The sequence below is a fragment of the Homo sapiens genome, chromosome 14, assembly GCF_000001405.40.
Source record: "Homo sapiens chromosome 14, GRCh38.p14 Primary Assembly".
Taxonomy (NCBI): Eukaryota; Metazoa; Chordata; class Mammalia; order Primates; family Hominidae; genus Homo; species Homo sapiens.
Genome location: NC_000014.9, coordinates 78,463,806 through 78,486,618, shown reverse-complemented (window position 1 = coordinate 78,486,618; position 22,813 = coordinate 78,463,806). Strand labels below are relative to the sequence as shown.

At 39.6% G+C, this 22,813-nt stretch overlaps 1 protein-coding gene across 52 annotated transcripts in view, besides 2 other annotated features; it reads right to left on the bottom strand.

Moving 5' to 3' along the window:
* NRXN3 (neurexin 3) overlaps positions 1–22,813 on the bottom strand; it is a 1,697,919-nt gene that overhangs the window by 1,381,673 nt on the left and 293,433 nt on the right. The gene's annotated exons all lie outside the window — the stretch shown is intronic.
* Positions 5,015–5,184: an enhancer, noted in NCBI's record as "experimental_36905 CRE fragment used in MPRA reporter constructs". NCBI's record gives its function as "activates a minimal promoter by MPRAs in K562 erythroleukemia cells, with activity observed for the non-introgressed 14:78947863 or rs17107727 variant allele {active_cell/tissue: K562}" and the evidence as "EXISTENCE:reporter gene assay evidence [ECO:0000049][PMID:34662402]".
* Position 5,099: a transcriptional cis regulatory region, noted in NCBI's record as "Neanderthal adaptively introgressed variant 14:78947863 (GRCh37/hg19 assembly coordinates) or rs17107727 in the experimental_36905 CRE". NCBI's record gives its function as "modulates activity of the experimental_36905 enhancer by MPRAs in K562 erythroleukemia cells {active_cell/tissue: K562}" and the evidence as "EXISTENCE:reporter gene assay evidence [ECO:0000049][PMID:34662402]".

The window sequence follows — 22,813 nt, the reverse complement described above, 5'->3', positions numbered from 1 at the left end:
ACCAGACAAGCCCAGGCTCTCAGTGGCATCTCTTCCACCATCCCAGGGTGGGAGAGGGAGGCCATCGCAAGGGTTAACAAATCAATTTCTATACACGGACTCTCCTCTGCCATTGTCTCCAGGAAGAAGTATTTCCACACTTGCCTCCTATGATCCTCCAGATCAAAGAAAAACCAAAGGCAAAGACTGAATGGGCAGAGTGCACACATACCTGGACTATAAGTTAGCCTTCTGAGAAAAATTACAGACCTCCCAAAGGAACAGGAGGCATCTCATGTTAACACTGTCCTTAAAAGGTTATGTTGAGTCACACCAGGAATGTAAAACATTCACCATCTACCTCCCAACTTGGACTTGGAGGGGCAGGAAAAAGGTAGGCCCCAGGAGGTCATTCATCCAGGCTTACATTCCCAAAGGATCCCTCAACACTTTAGCCTTCCTTATTATAGCAGTATTTAAACACTCACAAAAATAGTAAGTACCACCATAAGCCTATTGCTCAGCTTCAACAATAATTGTCCACATGGTTTCATCCAGCCCTCTCTTTGTTGTGGTTCCAGAGTATTTTAAGAAAATACCAAACATTACAAATTCAATCTTTTGTTATTATTTCCAAATCACTCTGCAAATATAGTCACCACTGATGAGAATACAAAAAGATATAAGCTGTCATCAAACAACTCTAAACTAGTATTCCGACACTTGTCTACCTGCCCATACTGTAGTGTGAATTAATAACATTTCTGAATTCAGTGATTCATATTTGGTGACTACACTGCATTGAGTTTCTGTTAATAGCAAATAATTTCTTAAGTGTTAACATTCAAAGGTTATTATAACCATGTTCTTTGCATTTGCTTTGCCAATAATCTAAGAACTTTGAAACATAGAAGAGATAAGAAAATGAAGGAGAAAAGGAAAGCAAAGAAACAAAAGTAAAGAAAATAAAGTGGCCAAGGGCTCTCTGAATCTCTCAAACTTGTCTTCAGTGAAAATTTCATAGGGATTAAATTCAGTGAAACAATGCTGATGTAATAGCAACAATTTGTTGAGCATTTACTACATGTCAAGCACTACTCCACACCCTTAAAGGAGAAAACTTGAAAATGGAGATTGCTTTATTTCTCTCTGTTTATTCTACAGTGCTTGGACACAGGAAGTGCCCAATTAGTGTGTGTTTATTGTAGTCATCTGAAGACGATATAAAAGACATACAGCCTGGGGCCCTTACAGAAAAGTAGAGAGGGGAGGTAGATAACTTACCAGCAGCACAAAGGTAAACTTTGGCTCTGGGGGAAAGGGAGCAACTTATTTTGAGGAACTTATCCCTTTTTCTTCCTCCAGTGGCTTTCTGTCTGCCTTCTTGAATCTCCCAACCGGGGGACACACAATTGCTTCTTTTTAGTGTGGTTTTATTAATAAATAGATGTGAAGTTATTCTATTTACATTATAAAGTATGCAGTCACCAGCTGGCTCAATCTCTCCTGGAGCCAGGGCTCCCTTTGGGCACCTCAGGCTATAATACTGTAGCCTTGAGACTCTGCAGTGGGGGAGCTTTGACACAGTAACATAGACAGGACCAAGGATGAGGCAAGGGAAGAGTTAATGCATTATAAGGGTGACTGAGCCCATCCCAAAGGAGTGTGCTGGCAAGGTTCATTTTTTATACCATTTTATTTATTCTGCACTAATTCACAGTCATTATCATATCCGGACAAGTGTCTCATGCTTCATTTACTGACATTAATTAATTTCCCCACCCCTTGCTTTTTATCTTATTTTAAAAGAATGAGAGGGAAATATCCCATTCTCTTAGAGAAAGAATACAGGTCTAACAGTGATCAGCGGCTGCCTTTCTCTAATGCAGCTGAGGACAGGGAAGTACACACCAGATCACTGGTATGCTTACTAAACCATAGCTGTGGCTAAACCTTTTACCTCCCATTATGACCCTAAACCCAAACCCCAACTCCCAGTCTCTTCCCATCTTCAAGCTCCATGTTCCAGTACCACTCCCTCATATGCAGTGATTTACAGAGTGGGTAATAGGAGAGAATGGCCAACCTGGGACAATTCTAGGCCCCCTCTCCCCCAGAAAAAAAGAAACTATCCAGTCATGACATGGAGGAAAGTAATACATGCATTAAAGGGATCAGCTGATAACTGCCCAGGAGCACAATTCATACTTCCTGACTCAGCCCCTGAAACCTGCAACTTCACTGCACAAACTAAAAACCCCAGCTGGGCACATCTCTGCATGTCCTGCCTGCCTCTCAAAAGGGTAGTAGGCCAAAGGGCTGGAGAGGTAAGTTAAATTGAAAACACCTAAGCGTCCCCACTAGAACCATTCATTGGTGTGTGTGTTTCCTTGTCATTTACTCTGTTATTGAATTACACAATTCCCCAACTGTATTATTTGTCATTATCTATTATTAAACTCTGTGGCACTAGTGTATTATTCCGCAGCTGCATTAACATTCTGCATTCCTGGCAGTCTACCTGTATTAATAATTCTGCCTCTTGAATCCAGAACAGAAATGTATCTTTATGATGGCTATTCTTTTTTTGCTCTCTCTCTCTCTCTCTCTCTGTGTGTGTGTGTGTGTGTGTGTGTGTGTGTGTGTGTGTGTGTGTGTAAGAGCATCCCTTGGTTTATGCTGAAAAATGAATGGCTTGCCCTTCTTCAAAAGGAGGCTTCCACTGAAAAATCGAACCAGCAGTCTAGCTAACATAAGCCATGAGCTAAAACTGCCATAATTTAGTTTGTAACCTTGGTAAGCCATACTTCTCTAGGCCTCAGTTTTCTCATTTATGAAATAAAATTGTTGGGTAAAATGAACTCTAGGGTCTTTTTAAAAAGCTCCAGAGTCCTCCCCTCTCACCTGGAATTTCCCAAGGCTGGAGGAACTCCCAGGCATTCTGAATTCTAATTCTGCCTAAATTTTATTTTTTTCTCTATGCCATTGGAAAGAGGAACAAAACTTTGGTTGTCTCTCATGTCCACTGCATAGATCAGACTCCTCCTTTGTATAAACTAAATGCCTTATTAGAATTCTTAAGAAGATATAACTGAGAGCCAAGTTATTGGATAATAGTGAACACGGTTTAAATAGTAAGGATTATTAGTAGTTGATTTGTTGGATTCTCTCTTGGAGTCACCAGTGACATGCAGTTGGTGGAAAGCTCTAGCCTCTCCTTTCCGTAACTGCTAAGTCTCCATGCTGAAGTCAGTAAGAAAACCTTAGCTGTGACACTGAGCTAATTACTAGAAATAGGAAATGGAGAGAAATTTAAGAGTTGCTAATTCATTCCCAAAAAGTTGAACAGCAGATTAACAGTAAATGTAAACTTTCCTACTGCAGATGCAGACAGAGTCACGTAGAAGGGGCTCTAAGCACTTCCCAGTTTTGTGGGGTTTTTTGGGGTTTTGTTGTTCTGTTTTGCTTAAGCCAAAGTCTTGATGTGATAATAGTCATGATCACTAGTTCTCTAGCTGTCTTTTTGTGAGCTCACTCTTCCCAGGACTACTAGAAATGCCCTTCATAATCAGAAAATAAAACAGAGCATGCTCAAAAATTTAAAAAAACAATCTAGTGGGGAAATGAGAAGTGTTCTCAGATGCTGGGGATGGAGACAGGAAGATGGGTACTAGAACACATCAAAGACAGGCAAAGATCCAAAATAACCTTTAAAGCAGAGTACGGTGACATCTAAATCAGAACTGCAACCCAGATTGACTAGTAACCAATGCAAAGCGTGAGAAACAACATTAAAAGGAGTGAGGGGGTAATGCTGACTAATTATCAAGCCTGTCACTTCTGACACCTGTGCCTTTAAAAAGTTAAGAAACTTCCTTCAAATTATCTTAAGATTATCCACAGGAACAAATCCAGAAGGTCACTATGCTTGTAGTCGTATTGTCTATTCTTTCTGTCAAAACAGAAGTAACAAGTCTAAAAATATAACCAATCAAATCAGTTTAGTCTAAAGTCCTTGTTGAAGTACATGAGACAAGTACTAAAGAATATGATAGTCTTGAATCAGTCCTTCAGTCAAGCCATTGACAGGTATTTATTGAGGTCTTATAATGGGCTCAGCACCGCTACGTCCTGACTGCATTTCAAGATGTCTGAGAGAGAGAGGAGGGTCTAGCCCCAGCTATTTCATTGTCTCCCCTTGAGGACTCAAACAAAGCATATGATCTAGTTTGACAATATTTATCAAGCTTCTATTATGAGACAGGATAGCCCTGGGTATATAGGAGAGCCAAGAAGTAGCAAGAATCATTGTCTACCTCAATGGGGCAGATCAAAGGAGTGATAAACAAGTATACAAATAGCACTTAGACAACGCATATACAGTAACTTTGAATAGCCTCCGTTTCCTGATCTGTAACATGGAAACAATATCAGTTGACAAGAGTATATCAGCTATGTGGGCTTTGGAGTTTGAGAAAAGATATAGTAGTCAGCTGATATAAATACATCCAAAGTTTTGCACTTGTGGGAAATGAAATTAGCTCTTTGGTCAAAACTCAAAACTTTTTCTTGGGATTTTACCATTTGTGGTGGGTTTCTGTGTTTCACAGGGATTAACTTTTAGTTGACTCCTTGATATAAGGAATCCCTTTATCATCTTATCTACATGGATATTATATCTTGCTCAAGTGATTCAGGCTCTTGGGGCAAAAAGATGGGGAGATACCCTAAAAAATAAGGGGAAGTTCAAGAAATAAATATTTCCTAAAAGAACTCTATAATATAAAAGAGTCTTGAGTTCAGGGGCAGGATAAGCAAAATGCCAGATGACTCTGAGGGCTGTAGGAGGGGATATCCTTTCTGTTTGTAGTTATGTTCAGCTCAGGTTGCTGCCACAATTTTTCTCCATAGAAAGTATTCATATTGTTTTTGGTATGAAGATAAAAAGGCTTGAAGATTGCTAGCTCTTTCTCTTTGTGATTTTCCATAAAGAATACCTATCACTTCTCCTCCTGTCTGTGCAATTCAAAACATATTGCAGTCATTCATTTTGATGGTCAAAACCCTCAGACTTTGCCTGGGCTCTTCCAGGATAGTGGGTCTCTGTGACAGCAGATAAGTCCATTGAAAAAGCCCCGGCTGTCACTCCTGAATCACCATGAGCCTTAATAAGATTTCTCCTCTAGCAAGACTTTCTTTCCTTCTTTCTGCCTGGGAGAGGATTCTTGAGTGAAAGCTAATATTTTCGCAGGTAGAAGGAAATCCGAAACATGAAAGAAAAAGAAATAATCCTATCCTAGCCCCTGTGATTCAAAACAGTGGACAGTTAACTTGATAAGAATGTCCAGCTATATTCTAAATCAGTTAAGACTCATTTTGCACAGCGTTCCCCTACAGAGACTATCATTCACCAACAAAATTTTGTACAATTTTTGTCCAGACCTCTCTCCCTCTTACCTGTGGACTCTGAGTTTTAGTTAAAAATCATTTTATTCAGTTCTATTAACCCCACACTTGCACACCAGAATATAATAGAAGACTTGTGTAGGTTTTTATTCTTTACTAACTTTCTACACCACCACCTGGCTGTGGAGAGAGAAATATGGATTGGCAAGGTTTACAGTGACCACCCCTTCCCTTCATGCCCACTGAAATGGCCACAGAAAGAGGTCACAAAGGAGAGACAACGTAGAGGAAAGATGGAACATGGACTGGTAGGGGAAAAGACAGACAAAAGAACAAAGGGAAAAAGAGGAATGACAGTAAGCTGGCCAAGACAGGGAAATAAAGGGGAAGAATACTTAGCTAAATGCAAACTTGACCTGGTCCTCATTTTAATCATGTGTCTGCTCCATTTTTTAATAAAAGGGGGAATAGTATAGAAAGGGACAAAAAAAGCTGCACAATATGTAAATGAGAAAGGAGACAGATGTATGTAATAATATTACACCCTTAAAGGATGTATCCTGAACATTGCCATTTTAGCCTACACTTATACCTAGCTATTAGGACACTGACTTACAAAATGTGAAAAAAATAGTAAATATATAGCAAATTGTTTATTAGCAACTCAGGTCAACTGTGAAAACAATTTTTATACTTCATATTCTCCAATCCACTATTTCTTAAAATGAGATTCCTGGACCCATTGTATAAGAATCTACTTTTGTTAAATAAAGATTCCTGGATGCCACCCAGAGCTGGGACTCTCTGGAGCTCTGACTTGGGAATCTAACTTTTAACAAATACCCCTGGTAATTTTAATATCCTCTAAAATTTGAAAGATGCTCCTCTAACCTTTATACAACCTGTGCTGTGTGCAATTACCTAATTATGTTGAATGTGCCAAGTGTGGTTTTGAAAGTTACCTCTTGAACATCTCAGATGCAATGAGAATTGCAGCCACTATATAAACAGGTGAGTCTGTTGTTATAATATAAGCCCCATGACGAAGCTTATTTCTCCAAATTTCTTTTTTGGGTTTTTTGTTTGTTTGTTTCTTTGAGGGTCTCACTCTATCATCCAGGCTGGAGTGCCATGGCGTGATCTCTGCTCACTGCAACCTCCGCCTCCCAGGTTCAAGCAATTCTTCCTGCCTCAGCCTCCTGAGCAGCTGGGATTATAGGCATCTGCCATCATGCCTGGCTAATTTTTGTATTTTTTAGTAGAGATTCACCATGTTGGCCAGGCTGGTCTTAAACTCCTGACCTCAGGTAATTTGCCCTCCCTGCTCTCCCAAAGTGCTGGGATTACAGGCGTGAACCACCATGCCCAGCCTTATTTCCCCAAATTTGACTACTGATATTCCTCAGGGTACCTAATGCAATCCAATCTATAGAGGTTTTCTTCCACACACACACAAAATATAGCATAAAATAATTACAAAAACCTTCATAGGGTCACACATTCAACTTATATAAAATAATATTTGGAGCAAGATAAGAAATAAAACTATTAACCTCCACCATAGTTCACTAGCGTCCAAAAGAAAAACTGGAAGAGCTCATTTAAAATTGCAAATTCCTGGACATTCTAATTCAGTGAGTTTAGGGAGGTGCCCAGAATCTGCATTTTAATAAGTATGTTCTGGGGACAAACCTTACGAAATGCTGACTTTGTACAACCTGAATTGTCTTGACCTCAATAGTTTAAATCAACGTTTCTTAAACTGTGGTCCCCAGAACCAGCAGTATCAGCATCACCCAAGGATGTGTTAGAAATACAAATTCTTGGTTCCCATCCCAGATCTAATGAATCAGAAACTCTGCCGATGGAATTCAACAGTCTGTGGTTTAACAAACTCTCCAGCTGCACTTTGTTTATATCAGCAGTTAGAGGAGTGGTTCTCAACTTTGCAGAACATTAGAATAACCTGGGGAGCTTTAGAAACCCCAATGCCCAGGCCACTTCTCAGACTCACTATGCCTCTTGGGAGAGCAGGTGGGGGAAGGTCCTGGGCATTGGTAATTTTTAAAGTTCGCCAGGTGATTCTAATGTGTAGCCAAGATGGAAAACTGACTTAGAGCAATAATAATTTTCTCACTTATGAAGCACAGGGATAGTCACACCCTAACTTACATATTGTAGCACATTGGTTTGCTATAAAAAATATTTACAATTATCCTAGTTCTCTAACTGTGTTTTGTTCACTATAACTTCTTGGACGTTGGTGATATGACAACTAACACATCTCTGCATAGAGCTTGAAGGAGGATGGAAAAAAAAGAGACACATCTAACTTGCAGCTAGATCAAGTTAAGTACCTAAAGTGATTGGAAAGTGGAAGAGGCTGAGTTTCTAAAATGCTCCTTCAGCTATGAGCTTCCTACCTCTAGATCAGAAACACACATAATGTAGAAGAGAAAGCTACCTACCCTCGGTCTTCTTTTTCCAGTCTGCCCTCAACCCCATGATTATTTCCACCATCAACCTTGGTGAGTGGGCTGGGAGTCACTTACCCTTCTTTAAATTGCCCCATTTGTGTCAAGGTTATTTTGTACAAAATGATAAGCATTAGCCATTAATTCTCTTCTGCATCTCCTACATTTTCCCCAAGACTAGGCTCTTAGAAAGGCTTTCTCTTTTTTTTCTGACTTCTTTTTTAAAAACCTTTAAAACATAGTTACCCTGTGGGTTTGTCATGCTTTTCCATCCTCTAATCTGTGAGTCAACAGAGAGATAATCAATATTATTAATAAAAATGACTTGCTATCATTAAAGAGAAAATGATGCTAAATTCTGTATTTTCCTCCAAATTAAGTTAAACTTCTTCTCCTCCATGAAGCATTCCATGTTGGCCCCACACAGTATTAATAATGTTCCTTTCTCTTGATTCTCATAACTACTTGTCTCTGTGCACTGCAGTATCTAGTGCTTAAGCGTATACTGGCTCATACTGTTTGAGTTGTATAATATAAAGCCATTTTCCCCCCAAATCACTAGTAAACTTCCTAAGGACAGACATCATACTTCTGTTGTATCCCAACAGAGCAGAAACGTTTGACTATCATGATACCTATTTTCCAGAATATCAAAACCATTAAACCCTGGCTTCTCAGCTATATTCTTCAAGTTAGAAAGCAAAACTATGATCAACATCCTGTCTCTCAATTCGGTCACTATGTTGAGCCTAATTTTCACAGATCATAAAGCATATTGGCTCAACTATGTGTGCGTGTATGTGTGTGTACATGAGTCTGTCCTTTCCCGTTAGCCTGTGTATGTGTGTGCGTGTGTGTGTGTGAGACAGAGAGAGACATAAGCCTGTTTCCCTACCCTAATGGTGCTAATGTAATGCCTTAGAACTTCTATGAAAATTAAACACATTCTAGTTTTTGTAACTCAATCTTTGTTCTTGTTATTGCCTGCAACTTTCTGCTTTTATCCTTTTTAATTAATAGTAGGATTTAAGAAAGATTTTTCAGATATATTCAAACATTTTTATCATAAGAAACCAAATCTTGAAATTCAATTTTAATAATTGAAAAGACATTTGTTCCTTATGGGTAGCATTTGCATTTTAAAGTTATTCAAGGCTGAGGGAGTTTGGAATTTCAGAACTGATTTGCATTGGTCATGAAACAAATTTTCATTCTAAAACAATATTGTATTTTGAGAAGTCATGCTCCCTTCTTTGGAGAAACATAAGGCTTAGTGATTCATAATGTGAAAGTTGCTAAATTTATATTGGAGAATAAATATACAATACACTCAAATATACAGTAAACTTACATTAAAGATTTGCATTGCATTTTCAACACTAAAGTTTCTCAGCAAACACAATCTATCCACTTGATCTTTGCATATACATCTGTAACCAGTGTAAAGAGAAAGGTATTAATACTTCAGAGAGGCATGAAATGTAGAGAATGAATGAGCAGAAAGGCTCTGGTATATTAACTGGGGAAAAGAAGACCCAATGGTATGGAAAGTGATTCTCCAGACAGCACAGAAAAAGCAATGGAAAAAAGAAAAAGACAATAGTGAAGACCTGCAAAAAGAATTGCTTCCCTTCCCAGAGACATAGAAGAGAATTTGGGTGATATGTGAACCCTAGATGGAGAATACAGCAGAGTGTACAAAGTTCCTGTATGGACAGGGGTTAAAGAGATTGCAGCACCCATAAAGAGAAACTGAAGACAACTAAGGGCATTTCCACTGGCTGCTGCAGAGCTCAGATTGCATGGAAACTAGACACAGAAAAAGATCACCCCAAGATCTTGAATACGAGCCCAAAAAGAAACATTTCATCTAAGGTGTTATGGAAGATAAATGGATCTGCAGACAAATATTAACTAAGAATTCCCAGTTACTACATGAATCAACACGCTTAATGACTGGCATATTGCTATATGGTATTTTTGTTAATTATACTAACATAAAATTTTATTATAATAACACTTGCCCTGCATTTTGAATTATCTCAGGGGTGCTGGGGAAAAGAGAACTAATTACAGGAAGAAATTCATATTATAAATCAATTGACTTAAATATTACACCTGTCTCTGATGAAAGAACTAGACAATATTTAAATGGAAAGAAAGATAGTTTTGTAGGATTTATATTTGTTCCCCAGGTCATATATATGAAAAACAAAAAATTATTTCTCTTCTTAATTATTCTAACCAGACCCCAGCCCCTCATGGTTTATAAAGCTTTACTGGCCTTTCTATTCCTAGATCTGCTGGGTCCAGGGCCTTCACCCGTGTGCCCTCCCCACTTGGCCTGTGATGCTTTCTGCATAGCTGGCTCCTCTTTGTCATTCAGATTTCAATTTAATATCACCTCCTTGGAGAGGAATTCCCTCAACCAAACTAAAGCAGCCTTCCCAGTCACTCTACCAGTTCTCCTTAATTCTCTAGATAGCACAAATCACTATCTCATATGTTTCTTATGTGTCTTTCTTTGTTTATAGTCTTTTTCCTGGCCTAAAAAAATTAGGCACTGTGAAATTACAAAACTTGTCTTATCACTGTATCTCCATTGCCCAATACTGTGTGACACATAGTAAGCACTCAGTAAGTATTAGTTTAATGGATTTGTCAAATTATTATATATAGCAATGTCATTGGGAATTATATTTACTTTATTTTTACTGTGTATTCCCCTCCCTTGCTTTATTCTTCTTACTGACACTAATCACCATGTGACATTGTACTATGTACTAAGTATTTGCTTATCCATTATCTATATCTTTTGCTAAAATATAAGCTTTATGTCTACTTGGTATACCTTATTATCTCTAGTACCTATAATAAGTACTGGCACATAGTAGAAGTTCAATAAATTATTCTTGAGTGAAGCCAGTAGTTCTATCATTCTTCTTCCTCTTCTTCTCTAAGCAATGCACAAGCAACTTGCTGCTTTGCTCTTTGCCATCAAATGTCCTCTTCTTGATCATGTTGTTGGCTCTGTGTCTGCCACCCTGACATTCCCAGGTGTTCTTAGCTGATTGTAGCAGAGGTGTTTGGTAAGGCTGAAATACTCTTTGTCTGCCCTGTTATTTGTCAGCGGTAATTTGTAGGCTTTGGCTGTGCTCTATTCAACTCTTATTTACATTTCACTCTCCAGTCAGACACTCATTAATGCCAAGACTGTTTTACTATCAATACCACCTGAGATACTTGAAAGAAAGAGGGAAGAGGTGAGAGGAGAGCTTGGCAATAACCTAGAGTCACTCAACTTCGAAAGTCATAAAGCAGTCAGCACAACATGCAACATGCTCTGGGTACCATGAATCAATTCCCAACCAGGCAGAATTCCTGGCCACTTCAGATGAACTTGCCCCTATGTGTTAACACATCTATTGTAAGCCTGATGCAAGCAGCTTACCATGCTAACCTCTGCGGGAGTTGCAAAATTAAATAGCATATAGGTCCTACCTCTAAGAGCTTATCATCTGAAAGGGGAATATCCACAAAGATAATGCTAATAAAATGCTTTTTCACACCTGTCCAGTCTCCCTGTACCCCTCATGCATGTCATCAGTTCACCTAGCAACTGTCATTCATGTACCCCTTATATGTCACCCACTCTATCGGTTAAACTCTTGCTACTGGAGATTAAATAGATATGAAGTCAATACCTTGCAATTAAGTTAGGCTGTACCTACAACAGTGTATATCAAAGTGTGGTCCCAGATCACTTACATCAAAACCACCTGGGGTACACTAGACCCACTGAATCAGAATCCCAGAGGCAGACCTAAAGATCTGTACTTTTAAACACTCTCCAGGTGATTCTTCTGGATACTAATATTTGAGAACCACTGGACTAAAATGTATGCAGGATGCAAAAGTACTTCTGTACCTGGTATTAGACCAGTTCCTTGCATATATTGATGCAGTATAATGATAATCTTCCAAACTGTTGCTATTGGTCAGCAACCCTATCCCCTCTCTGCCTTTCTAGTAGCCCTTATGGTAGGGAACTTTCTACTCTCTGCACTTTCTTGAACTAATATGGTATGCAAACAACATTGGCAACTATCAATTCCTTCCTGATATTCATGCCCTTAGCAACCAGGAACTTATTTTTAGTTGGTGTTCTGAGACCAAGAAAAAGATCATGGAGAGATGCTAAGCAAATGACTATAACTGCCATAAGTCATAATTCTCACCCCACATAACTTGATAAGTTGAGCCAGCACAGTGGGTTCCAAATGCACAGACTTAGAATCCCTAAGAGTAGAAAGCTGGTATCCACATTTTTAATAAATGCCTCAGGGATGCCTTTTAGCAGTTAATATAACATTGGTCCATGGACCAACAATGAGGAGCCAGTGATCTGCTATAAGGTCTGGGACAGCTATCCAGCTCCTAAAAATGGGAGCATCACCCCTTGTTATGTACACTCCAATATAGGCTTAATCACTTAACCATGAAGAATGGTGGCTCTTTTTTCTAAAACTACAAATAACCAGAAAGTTAATTACACCATTCCCTATCTCTTACTCTCTCTTCTTATCAGATGAATGATAATTAGTCCTCTAAGCTGGTTTTTCAGAGGACCACTAATATTACAGATGGACATACGTTTAATATGTCTTCATACAGTAGCCAGGCTCCAAGCAGGCCTCCAGTGAGTCTTCTTCCTGATATTCATGCCCTTGTTGTAGGCCCCTCCCATAATGTTGAGAGCTAACCTGTGTAGTCAACAGGACATTGAGGAAATGACAGTGTGACATCCCAGGGTAGGTAACAAAAGACACTGACACTTACACGTTTGCTCTTTTGGGTCCCTTGTAATAGGGGAGCATCTGCCTCATAATTAGGACATTCAAGCAGCCCTTTGCAGAAGTCCACATGCAGAATTAGTCTTCTACCAACAGCCAGCACCAACTCACCATCCATTTGAGTGAGCCATCTTAGAAGTGGATCCTCCGGCCCCAGTCAAGCCTTCAGATGACTGCAGCCCTTGCTATCATCTTTACTATGATCTCAAGGCAGAACCACCCAGATAAGCCACTCCTGAATTCCTGATTCACAGTAACTGTATTAACAATAAATGTTTATTATTGTCTAAAGCCACTAAGTTTCATGGTGATTTGCTACATAGCAGTAGCTTATACACCTAGTTTAATCCAAGAATGACATCAGAGCTCCTAACTTAGGACTCTGTCTGTGGCCATAACTCAGCAGGTATCCCAGATAAAGTTACTTCTTCCCTTTCTTTTTTAATTTAGTCCATTAAAAAGAAGTTTCACAAAAGAAAGGTTTTTCATTTTTTTTTTTTTTTTTGAGACAGAGTCTCGCTCTGTTGCCCAGGCTGGAGTGCAGTGGTGTGATCTTGGCTCACTGCAAGCTCCACCTCCCAGGTTCACGCCATTCTCCTGCCTCAGCCTCCCGAGTAGCTGGGACTACAGGAGCCCGCCACCACGCCCAGCTAATTTTTTGTATTTTTAGTAGAGACGAGGTTTCACCATGTTAGCCAGGATGGTCTTGATCTCCTGACCTCATGATCCACCCACCTCGGCCTCCCAAAGTGCTGGGATTACAGGCTTGAGCCACCACGCCCGGCCAGAAAGGTTTTTCTTTTAAAGAGCCTTGGTAACAGTCCTACTGTATCAAACAGGATTGGTTTTAAATGAACATCCTTGTACCTCTCTCTACTTGCCAGGGGAGTTGTGAGGCTTAATTAATTACAGATCTTTGGATGAAAGGAGCACTGAGCACTGAGAATTATCATCAAACAGGACCAGGGAAAAATGAAAAAAAAAAAAAAAGACATTTTCTCTCTTTGCTGGCTAAATCCATTTCACCTGAGACTTTGCAAAGGCTGAGTCACCTATTGTTTAGAGAATATTCCATTTTTGCTGAGTGTGGAGTGGAGACAAGCCAGCACAGTGGCAGAATAGGGAGCCCCTGTCCTTTATCTTAAAATAGGCCCCTTTCCCAAAATAAACTCCAACGCTTCTTTTAGAGGACAGTGTGGCCATTTGTATCATCTGAACTTTTAAGGAGGAACAGTGAGATGAAATAGACATGTGATCTAAGCCTCATCTAGCAGACTACCTCCATGTGCATGACACTTCCTAAACTGTGAGCCAGACAACTCCCATGGATGTGGATGTCTTCCCTGAGCAAGCATTAAGTGGAGAAAAATATATTCTTTGGGTTCTCTTCAATGTTTTAATGACACTGCTCCTGCCAGAGGAAGCCCAGGAGGGTAGAACCAATTTTCCACATAAGAACAAAATGGTGTTTGGTAGAGAGGATAGGTAGCAAAATGGGAAAATTACTAAATGTTGTTGCCAAGATTCAAGAGTTCAAATCTGAGCTTCCCCACACACTAAACAAATGACCTTGGTTGAGTAAGTGACTTAACTTCCCCGATCCTTAAGTTCCTCACAGTAAAACATATCCCCAGGATATCACATTTTCCCTCCAGCCCCCACACCACCTCCACATCCCAAAGACAGTGACCAAGAAAGAGGCAAAACTACTTCATCTGGCCATAATAGTGGGAGTTTCCAACACTGAGGGGAACTTAGGCCTCAAACAGTAAGCTGTGTCCTAGATCTTGCTATCTTGCTCTTCAAAGCTCTTTGAGGCTTTCTCTTCTGATGCCTGTCTTTTCCTACAAAGCACAGAATTCTGGCTTGGAAAGGCTTAGGTTCCATCTTTTACAGCCACTTTCTTTTTCGGGGATTCTCAGCAGGGATGCAGAGTTTGGTTTCCCTTCCTAACCAAAATCAGAAAGGTAGGTTTGACTTTTCTTTTAGGTTGGTTCAAGTCCACCCAGCTTCTCTTTGTGGTGCAGCCCAGTTCACCAAAATCCTGTTCAGTATTTGAGGGGCCTAAGCCCCAACTAGCAATAGAGTGTCCCTTTGCATTGTTTCACCCTCTCTGTGCATAAATTTACCTTAGTACTTTCTAGGGGGGTAGCTGATCTACAGAATTATACAAGTATGCCTAGACCAATGGTATCGTAATTATGCCTGGATATTACCATTACCTATATCACCAGGCTGTTGTAATGATCAAGAGAAATAACGAGGGTAAAAAAACTCATCAACATTCAACCCTGGTACCCAGGTTAGTTTTTATTATAGTCCCAGGAGGGTCAGTACCAACCATGCCCTAAAGCAAAAAAAGCCTGCTCAGTAAGTAAATGAAGGAGAGGGAGCAGACCTGAGTGAGACTTCCCTTCCTTTGGCCACAATAGGTTAGACCAAGAAAATGTCTGATGGTGATCAGGCCCTGAATTTATCTTGTTGATTCCAGTAGGCCTAATCATGCTGACGGTCATTGCTGCATGACTTTGAACTTTCTCCAGATTCCAGAGCCAGAGGTGAATTTCTTGGGGGTGTGTGTGTGTGTGTGTGTGTGTGTGTGTGTGTGTGTGTGTTGAGTGTGTTGAAGAGAAGAAAGGGAAGAAAGAGAAGAATGAAGACACTCACGAATCATGTACCAGTTTTATTTTGTTTATAAGATGTAACATGAGCTCTTTCAATAAGCTTGTTGATTTTTATGAGAATTTCCAAGGACCTCCTCAGGATACCAAGTCCACTCTGTTCAGTGTGCCAGTGCCATGTCCCTCCCCAAAGAACCACTCTACATCAAATCACATCAGAGCACTCATTCAGAATGAAGGCCTTGTCATTACACAAGCAAGAACAAGTCTAGGTTACCCAGGCTGAGTATAGATTAGGATTGGCAGAAAATTCCTGCTTTAGAACTAAGTCCTGAGTTCCAGGGTTGGTTTTGACACTAGCTATCTGACCTTCGGAAGGTTGCTGTCAGAAGTCTCAATTTTTCCATCTGTGAAATGGGTATGTTAACACTTACCTGGTCCAGTACCCCAGGACAGTTGTGAGGATCGCATATAAAAGGATTTTTTATACTGTAAAGTGCTTCAAAATGTAAAAAAGCGTGATACTAAACATTGTCATAGATGAAACCATATTTACACAAATATCTCTTCTTTATTTCCTCCCCATCTCCATTTCTCTTCTCTTTTCTATCTTACTATTTATCTATTGTATTCATTCTTCCTCCTCTCTTCACTTTGCCTCAGCTTATATCTTAATGTCAGATGAACACAATACAATCCATATGTATTAACCAACCAGCCCCACTGATATACAAGACTGACATGAAATGGTGATTCCTCATGCAGAACATTTTTGGAAACTCTTTAAGGAAAGGTGTATCTCTTGATTACTGACGAGGATTATGGAGCAAAGCCTCTCCCACCGAGAAAAGAAATTGCCCCAACTTCTCCTCTAAGTATAATATTTGAAGCAATAACTTTGGTAATAGCTCTAAAACTGTTTATATAAGAATCACCTACCCTTTAAAGAAGTGAAAATTCCAGATGCCTGAGTCCCATCCTCAGAGAACTGGGGTGGGACTCATAAATATGTCCTTTTCACAAGCCTTCTCCCATCCCCAAAGGGATTCTCATGCCACTCTGAAGAAACCCTGAACCCAGGGAAGATTGTCAGTGTCATACCTAACAGGAGTCAACTTCTCTCTTATGCAATTAAATATTTCTCCAAAATAGATGAGGCTTATGGAGGATAAAAATAAACTAGAAGAAAGTCAGAGAGGCCAGCCAAAAACCCAAATGATTAAGGTCTGCCAAGAATGATTTATGAACATGGAAAAAAACCCAGATATTCTGTTGTTGACTCAGTGGCTGCCTATAGACAGATAATTGGTCTGCAAATATTTATAAGGCATTAACAACAAGCATATCAAGGAATTATCTAACATGTAACAAGGTCAAAGCTCAGACTAACGGGACAAAATCAAGGAAGAGGCAGTTTTAGCTTTCCAATCAAGGAAAACAAATACTGAGATCTCAGACTGAATTTACCTTCTCAAAGGAAATGGTGGAAGTTGTATTTTTCAGGTGCTACTGTAAAGAAAGCTCGGTTTGAATGGGACAACAGGGGTTTCAATAGCATCATGACATTTTATACACTATAGAGCTTTTCAGGGCGATTTCCCACCATCTCTACTTGATGCAGGATTAGCACTAACAAGCCCTTGTGCTTCAAACACCAGGTGTTGATCCAGGTTGGGTCTTCGAAGTGTATAGAATTCACCTTCTGACTGCTCCTGTCCCCATGCCCCAGTTGGCACCCAGCAATTTCATGCTAATTCTGGACCTGCCAAGAACTTAAAGAGACTTTGTCATAGTGCCCCTTTGCCATGGCTTGCAACCCTGAAAACATTGATTATTCACAGTGAAAATTAACTATCTAGGTCAGTGGTTCTCAACTCTGGCTGCATTACATTACATCACATATATCCAGACAGACTTTATTTTAATACAGATGCCAAGGCCCTATCCCAGACTCACTAAATAGATTCTTTGGTAGTGAGGCCCAGGCATCAGTATTTTTCATAAGGCTTCCAGGTGATTCTAACGTATGGGCACAAGAAGAACACTGATTTAGATAATGATTCCTATTTTGCCATACATTAGATTTCCTGTGAATATTAAAAAAAATACCAGGCCTTCTACCCAGAAATTTAAGCTTAATTGGCCTTGGATGAGACTCAATTATCAATTTTAAAAGCTCTTTAGGCGATTTTATTGTGTAACTAGGTGGAGAAGGTTTCTCCTTGTGGGAAGAGTCCCACTTTGCTAAACTCTAAACTTATTTTCTCCCTCCATCTTTGACCTCTCCCATGCCCCAGGCCCCCTAATATAAACCTACTTTTCCTGCTGACCATCTCATCTCAGTAGCTTTACCATCTTCTCAGTCACCCAAGCCCAGGTTCCTCAAAGCCATCTTTGACTCTTCCCTCTCCCTCACTCCCACACCAAAGACTGGCAGAGCACCTCACACATTCATTCTTTCCTAAGGCAGGATCCCTCTCACCAAGAAGATCTATGTCACTTCCTAATAGATTTCAATGTTCTTAACTGCTCTACTGGATTGATTGCAAAAGTGCCTCCAATTCTTCACACATACGTATAACCATATTCTTTGAATTTTGAGTTTGTAGCTTCTCTCATCTAGAAATAGACTATAGAGTCTATGTCTCCAGCTGATGAATCTGGATTGGCCTTGTGACTTGTTTCAATCAATAGAATGCCACAGAAGTGGTAGTCTGCCAGCTCTAACATGAGGCCTAAAGAGACCTTGCACTTATCCATTTCTTTCCCTGCTTCTCTGTGATCAGCATAAGAATGTGTCCAGACTACCCTAAAAACAAGCCTCTGCTAACTTGCTGGAGGTGAAGAAAACACATGGAGCAAAGCCAAACCATCTCAGACAAGGCTTCAAAGATGTGAGGAAGCTCAGCCACATCAGCAAAGCCAACAAGCCCACGTGCAACTGACCAAAGATGAGAGACAGCCCCATTATGCCCCCAAACCATATCAGCAGGTGTGTACAGCCAACCTAATACTCATGAGAAATAATAAATGGCTGGTTGATTTAAACTACGGAATTTTGGGGTGCTTTATGACACAGCAATAGCCAACTGATACATCTACCTAACCAAGATCACTAACAATAATAAAGCTGCCATTAACAATAATAATAAGACCCAACTTGGTGAAATCCCACCTCTACTAAAAATACAAAAATTAGCCAGGCATGGTGGCGGGCCCCTGTAATCGCAGCTACTCAGGAGGCTGAGGCAGGAGAATTGCTTGAACCTGGGAGGCGGAGGTTGCAGTGAGCCAAGATCGTGCCACTGCGCTCCAGCCTGTGCGACAGAACGAGCCTCCATCTCAAAACAACAACAACAACAACAAAACAATAATAATAAGACTTCTAGGATATATGTATTTACAAATAGGAGGTGTAGAACCATAAGAGGGCTGTGGTGTGTGGTGTGTGTGTATGTGTGTCTGTGTGGGTATGTCTGTGTGATCTAAATTTTCATACTGATAACATTTTTAAAATCATCTAGATAACCACTACATAATTGAGTCCTGCTATGCAGTTTCAATGCTTGCACTTGCATGCATGTCTACAGTGGTGAGATGTTAATAGTGATGGGCCAGTGAGGAAGAGAGGTGGACCTGATACATAGAAGATGTGTTCATGCTAAGCAAAGTTTAAATAATACCACTGTTCACTGCATAAACAATAAGTTGGAGTAGAGAAAAGTGGGGAAAGACTGAGTCAACATAACACACAGAGTATGGGAAAGGCCAAACTTTAATAACCTGGGCTGTAGCAGTTAGTACTATATTCACATCGTCCACAAAGATTTATTTTCATATTGATTACAAATGGGTCTATTAAATTAATACTGCTTCATTTAATTTTATTGTGCTTGTGTTGTTTATAATGTTTAAACTCGTTTTGGTTTTATACCTGTAGCAGAGCACGAAACTTGAGAAATTTATAACAAATATAGTTGTAAATATTTAACATTATAATAGAAACAATTTAACACAGACTAGGGGGTGAGATCCTGCAAATATTTCTTTTTTAATTAAAGATATTTATTCTGAGCCAAATGTGAGTGACCATGGCATGAGGCACAGTCGTGAGAGGTCCTGAGAACATGTGACCCAGGTGTTCAGGGTACAACATGGTTTTATACATTTTAGGGAGACAGAAGACATCAATCAATACATGTGAGACATACATTACTTCAGTCTGGAAAGGCAGAACAACTCAAAGAGAGAGCTTATAGGTCATAGGTGGATCCAAATATTTTCTTTTTTTTAACTTTTAAGTGCAGGGGTACATGTGCAGGTTTGTTACACAGGTAAACTTGTGTCATGGGGGATTGTTGTACAGATTATTTCATCACCAGGTATTATTTCTTACCTTTAAAAAAGACCTATTCATCATTCATGATATTGAAACTCTGTATTAAGTTGTTCTATCCTCATGTTCACACCGTAAAGTTGAAATCACTGCCCCCAATTAATGGATAAGGAAATAGAGAAGAGTTAACTCATTTGTCTAAGAACCTATCCTAAGGAACTGGCAGAGCTGGGATTTTGACTCCAGGTCTGTCTGGTGCCAAAGGTTGCTCTCTTTACTTTGCATCTGAAAATACAGGTCAAGTCCACCCCTCTCTTTAAAAATTTCTCCATAGCTCCCTATGGCCTTTCAATTAAATTCTAATTCTTCAGCAAAGCATCCAAGGTTCTCCACAAGCCATTAAACCACTTTCTTTTCTACATCTTTTAGCCCACACTCTAGTCCAGCAATTTCAGATAGCTCACTTCTCAACATTCATTTCCATCCCTTCACGCCTAGGAATGTTCTCCTCTGTCCATAGAAATACTACTCAGTCTTCATGATGCAACCTGTTATGTCCTTTCTGATGCCCAGACCCCTATCAAAACTCCATCCTTATCCCTTTGTACAGACACTCAGACACTGATTTTATTCCATTTTACATTATGAGAACTTCTTAAAATGTCTCTTTCACCAGATTGAGAATCTTGTCCTTGAAGGCAATGATTCTATTGTTACTTTTTATTTTTTTGAAGACAATAGGTTTGTTGTTGTTGTTGTTTGTCTGTTTGTTTTGTAGTTAGGATAACACTTCCTCATTGAAAGTGAGTATAAAGGAAGAAACCTTCCCAGCACTTTGGGAGGCTGAGGTGGGCAGATCACGAGGTCAGGAGATCTAGACCAACCTGGCTAACACGGAGAAACCCCGTCTCTACTAAAAATACAAAAAAAATTAGCCGGGCGTGGTGGTGGACATCTGTAGTCCCAGCTACTCGGGAGGCTGAGGCAGGAGAACGGCATGAACCCAAGAGGTGGAGTTTGCAGTGAGCCGAGATCGCGTCACTGCACTCCAGTCTGGGTCACAGAGCAAGACTCCATCTCAAAAAATAAATAAATAAAAATTTAAAAAAATACCTTAGGCCGGGCGCGGTGGCTCACGCCTGTAATCCCAGCACTTTGGGAAGCCGAGGCGGGCAGATCACGAGGTCAAGAGATTGAGACCATCTTGGCCAACACGGTGAAACCCCATCTCTACTAAAAATACAAAAATTAGCCGGGCATGGTGGTGCATGCCTGTCCCAGCTACTCGGGAGAGTGAGGCAGGAGAACTGTTTGAACCTGGGAGGCAGAGGTTGCAGCGAGCCGAGATCGCGCCACTGCACTCCAGCCTGGCGACAGAGCAAGATTCTGTCTCAAAACAAAAACAAAAAACAAACAAACAAACAAACAAAAAACCTTAAATCTCTGTCATCACTTGTGATATTTCTTTCCCATATCATCTTTTTAAAATTTTACAGAACTGGGATAATATTATAGATCTAGTTTCATATCCAGTTTCTTATTTTATTAAATTGCTAGATTATGACATTTTATCACATCATTTAATAGTTCTCAAAATTTTAATTTTTAATGGCTCTGATTCCAATCCATCTGGTTTCCATAATTTATTTAATACTTGACAATATTTAGGTATCTAAACAATTTCCAGGGTGCTTTTTCTCTAAAAGTATGATAGTGTCCTTCTCCGTAACCCTTTTCATCTAAATTTTCTTTTAATACATCTTTAGAAATAGAATTGAGATATGCATCTAGTATCTTCTCCTGCCCAAAACTCATTCAATTGTCTTACACACAATTCTGTGAACACTTGCACATACTTTGCACATAGGCTCATACCTGGCACAAAATAGTCTCTCAGTGTGGGTTGAATGAAATAAACAAATGAATGAAAAAATGAATAGTAGGCATTCTATCCAAACAAACTCTTTAGAATCAACTATAAAGCATGTGAAAATCTAATTACATTTAGGGAACAGAATGTGAATGTTAATATACCTTGATAATGGATAAGTAAGAATACGACTGAGAATTCGGAGGAGGAATGATGAGTGGAAGATAGCATTTACGTATATGGCCCTAAACTCTCATAGCAAAAAGTCAGAATCTACTGTCTAAATTTTATAAAACAAGAAAGTATGTTAGAATCCTGGTAGTAAACAGAAGAGCCAAGAATTGAAGCATTTTACAGTTTTATCCTTAGAGAATGGAACTCAGAGGAGATAATTTTACTCTTCATGCTGTTTTGTAAATATTTGAATATTTTTACAATGTATACAAATTGCTTTTATAAATTTTGCTTTTATTTTTTCTTGTATAATTTTAAAAGCATGAAGAACAAAAATACAACTCTTTTCCTTTAAGAGAGAGATTAAGTCAGACTGTCTAGTTTAAGCCTTCAGAGAATCTAATCCCTTCAATGGGTATACAGTAATGACTTCTGAATTCTCTCACCTATATGATTCTAAGACACTCTTTATTTCTTTTCTCAGTCATCCCAACAGCCTCCTCCCTTACTGTCTAGTCACATTTGTGCTTCATCAAAAACTCTCCTTTTCAGCTAGGCGCAGTGGCTAACGCCTATAATCCCAGCACTTTGGAAGGCCGAGACAGGCGGATCACCTGAGGTCAAGAGTTTGAGACCAGTCTGGCCAACACGGTGAAACCCAGTCTCTACTAAAAATACAAAAAAAATTAGCTGGACATGGTGGCGGGTGCCTGTAGGCCCAGCTACTCGGGAGGCTGAAGCTGGAGAATCGCTTGAACCCAGGAGGCAGAGGCTGCAGCGAGCTGAGATCATACCATTGCACTCCAGCCTGGGGAACAGAGCCAGACTCTGCCTCAAAAAAAAAAAAAATTAATTAATTAAATAAATAAAAATAAAACTCGCCTTTTCAAGTTTAAAAAATATATAAATAGGCAGCATAAAAAAGAATGAGTAATAATAATAGCAGTTAATTCCCTTAGATAAAGGTCAAGGAGCATCTTGCAAAGGGGCAATACTGAACAACTGTGTTTTGCATAATAATATATATAAAATAATATGTGGCTGGCTGGAGGAGGCCAGTGTCCCTTTGTTCTAAGTAAATGTATTCAGCAAAAATTTGC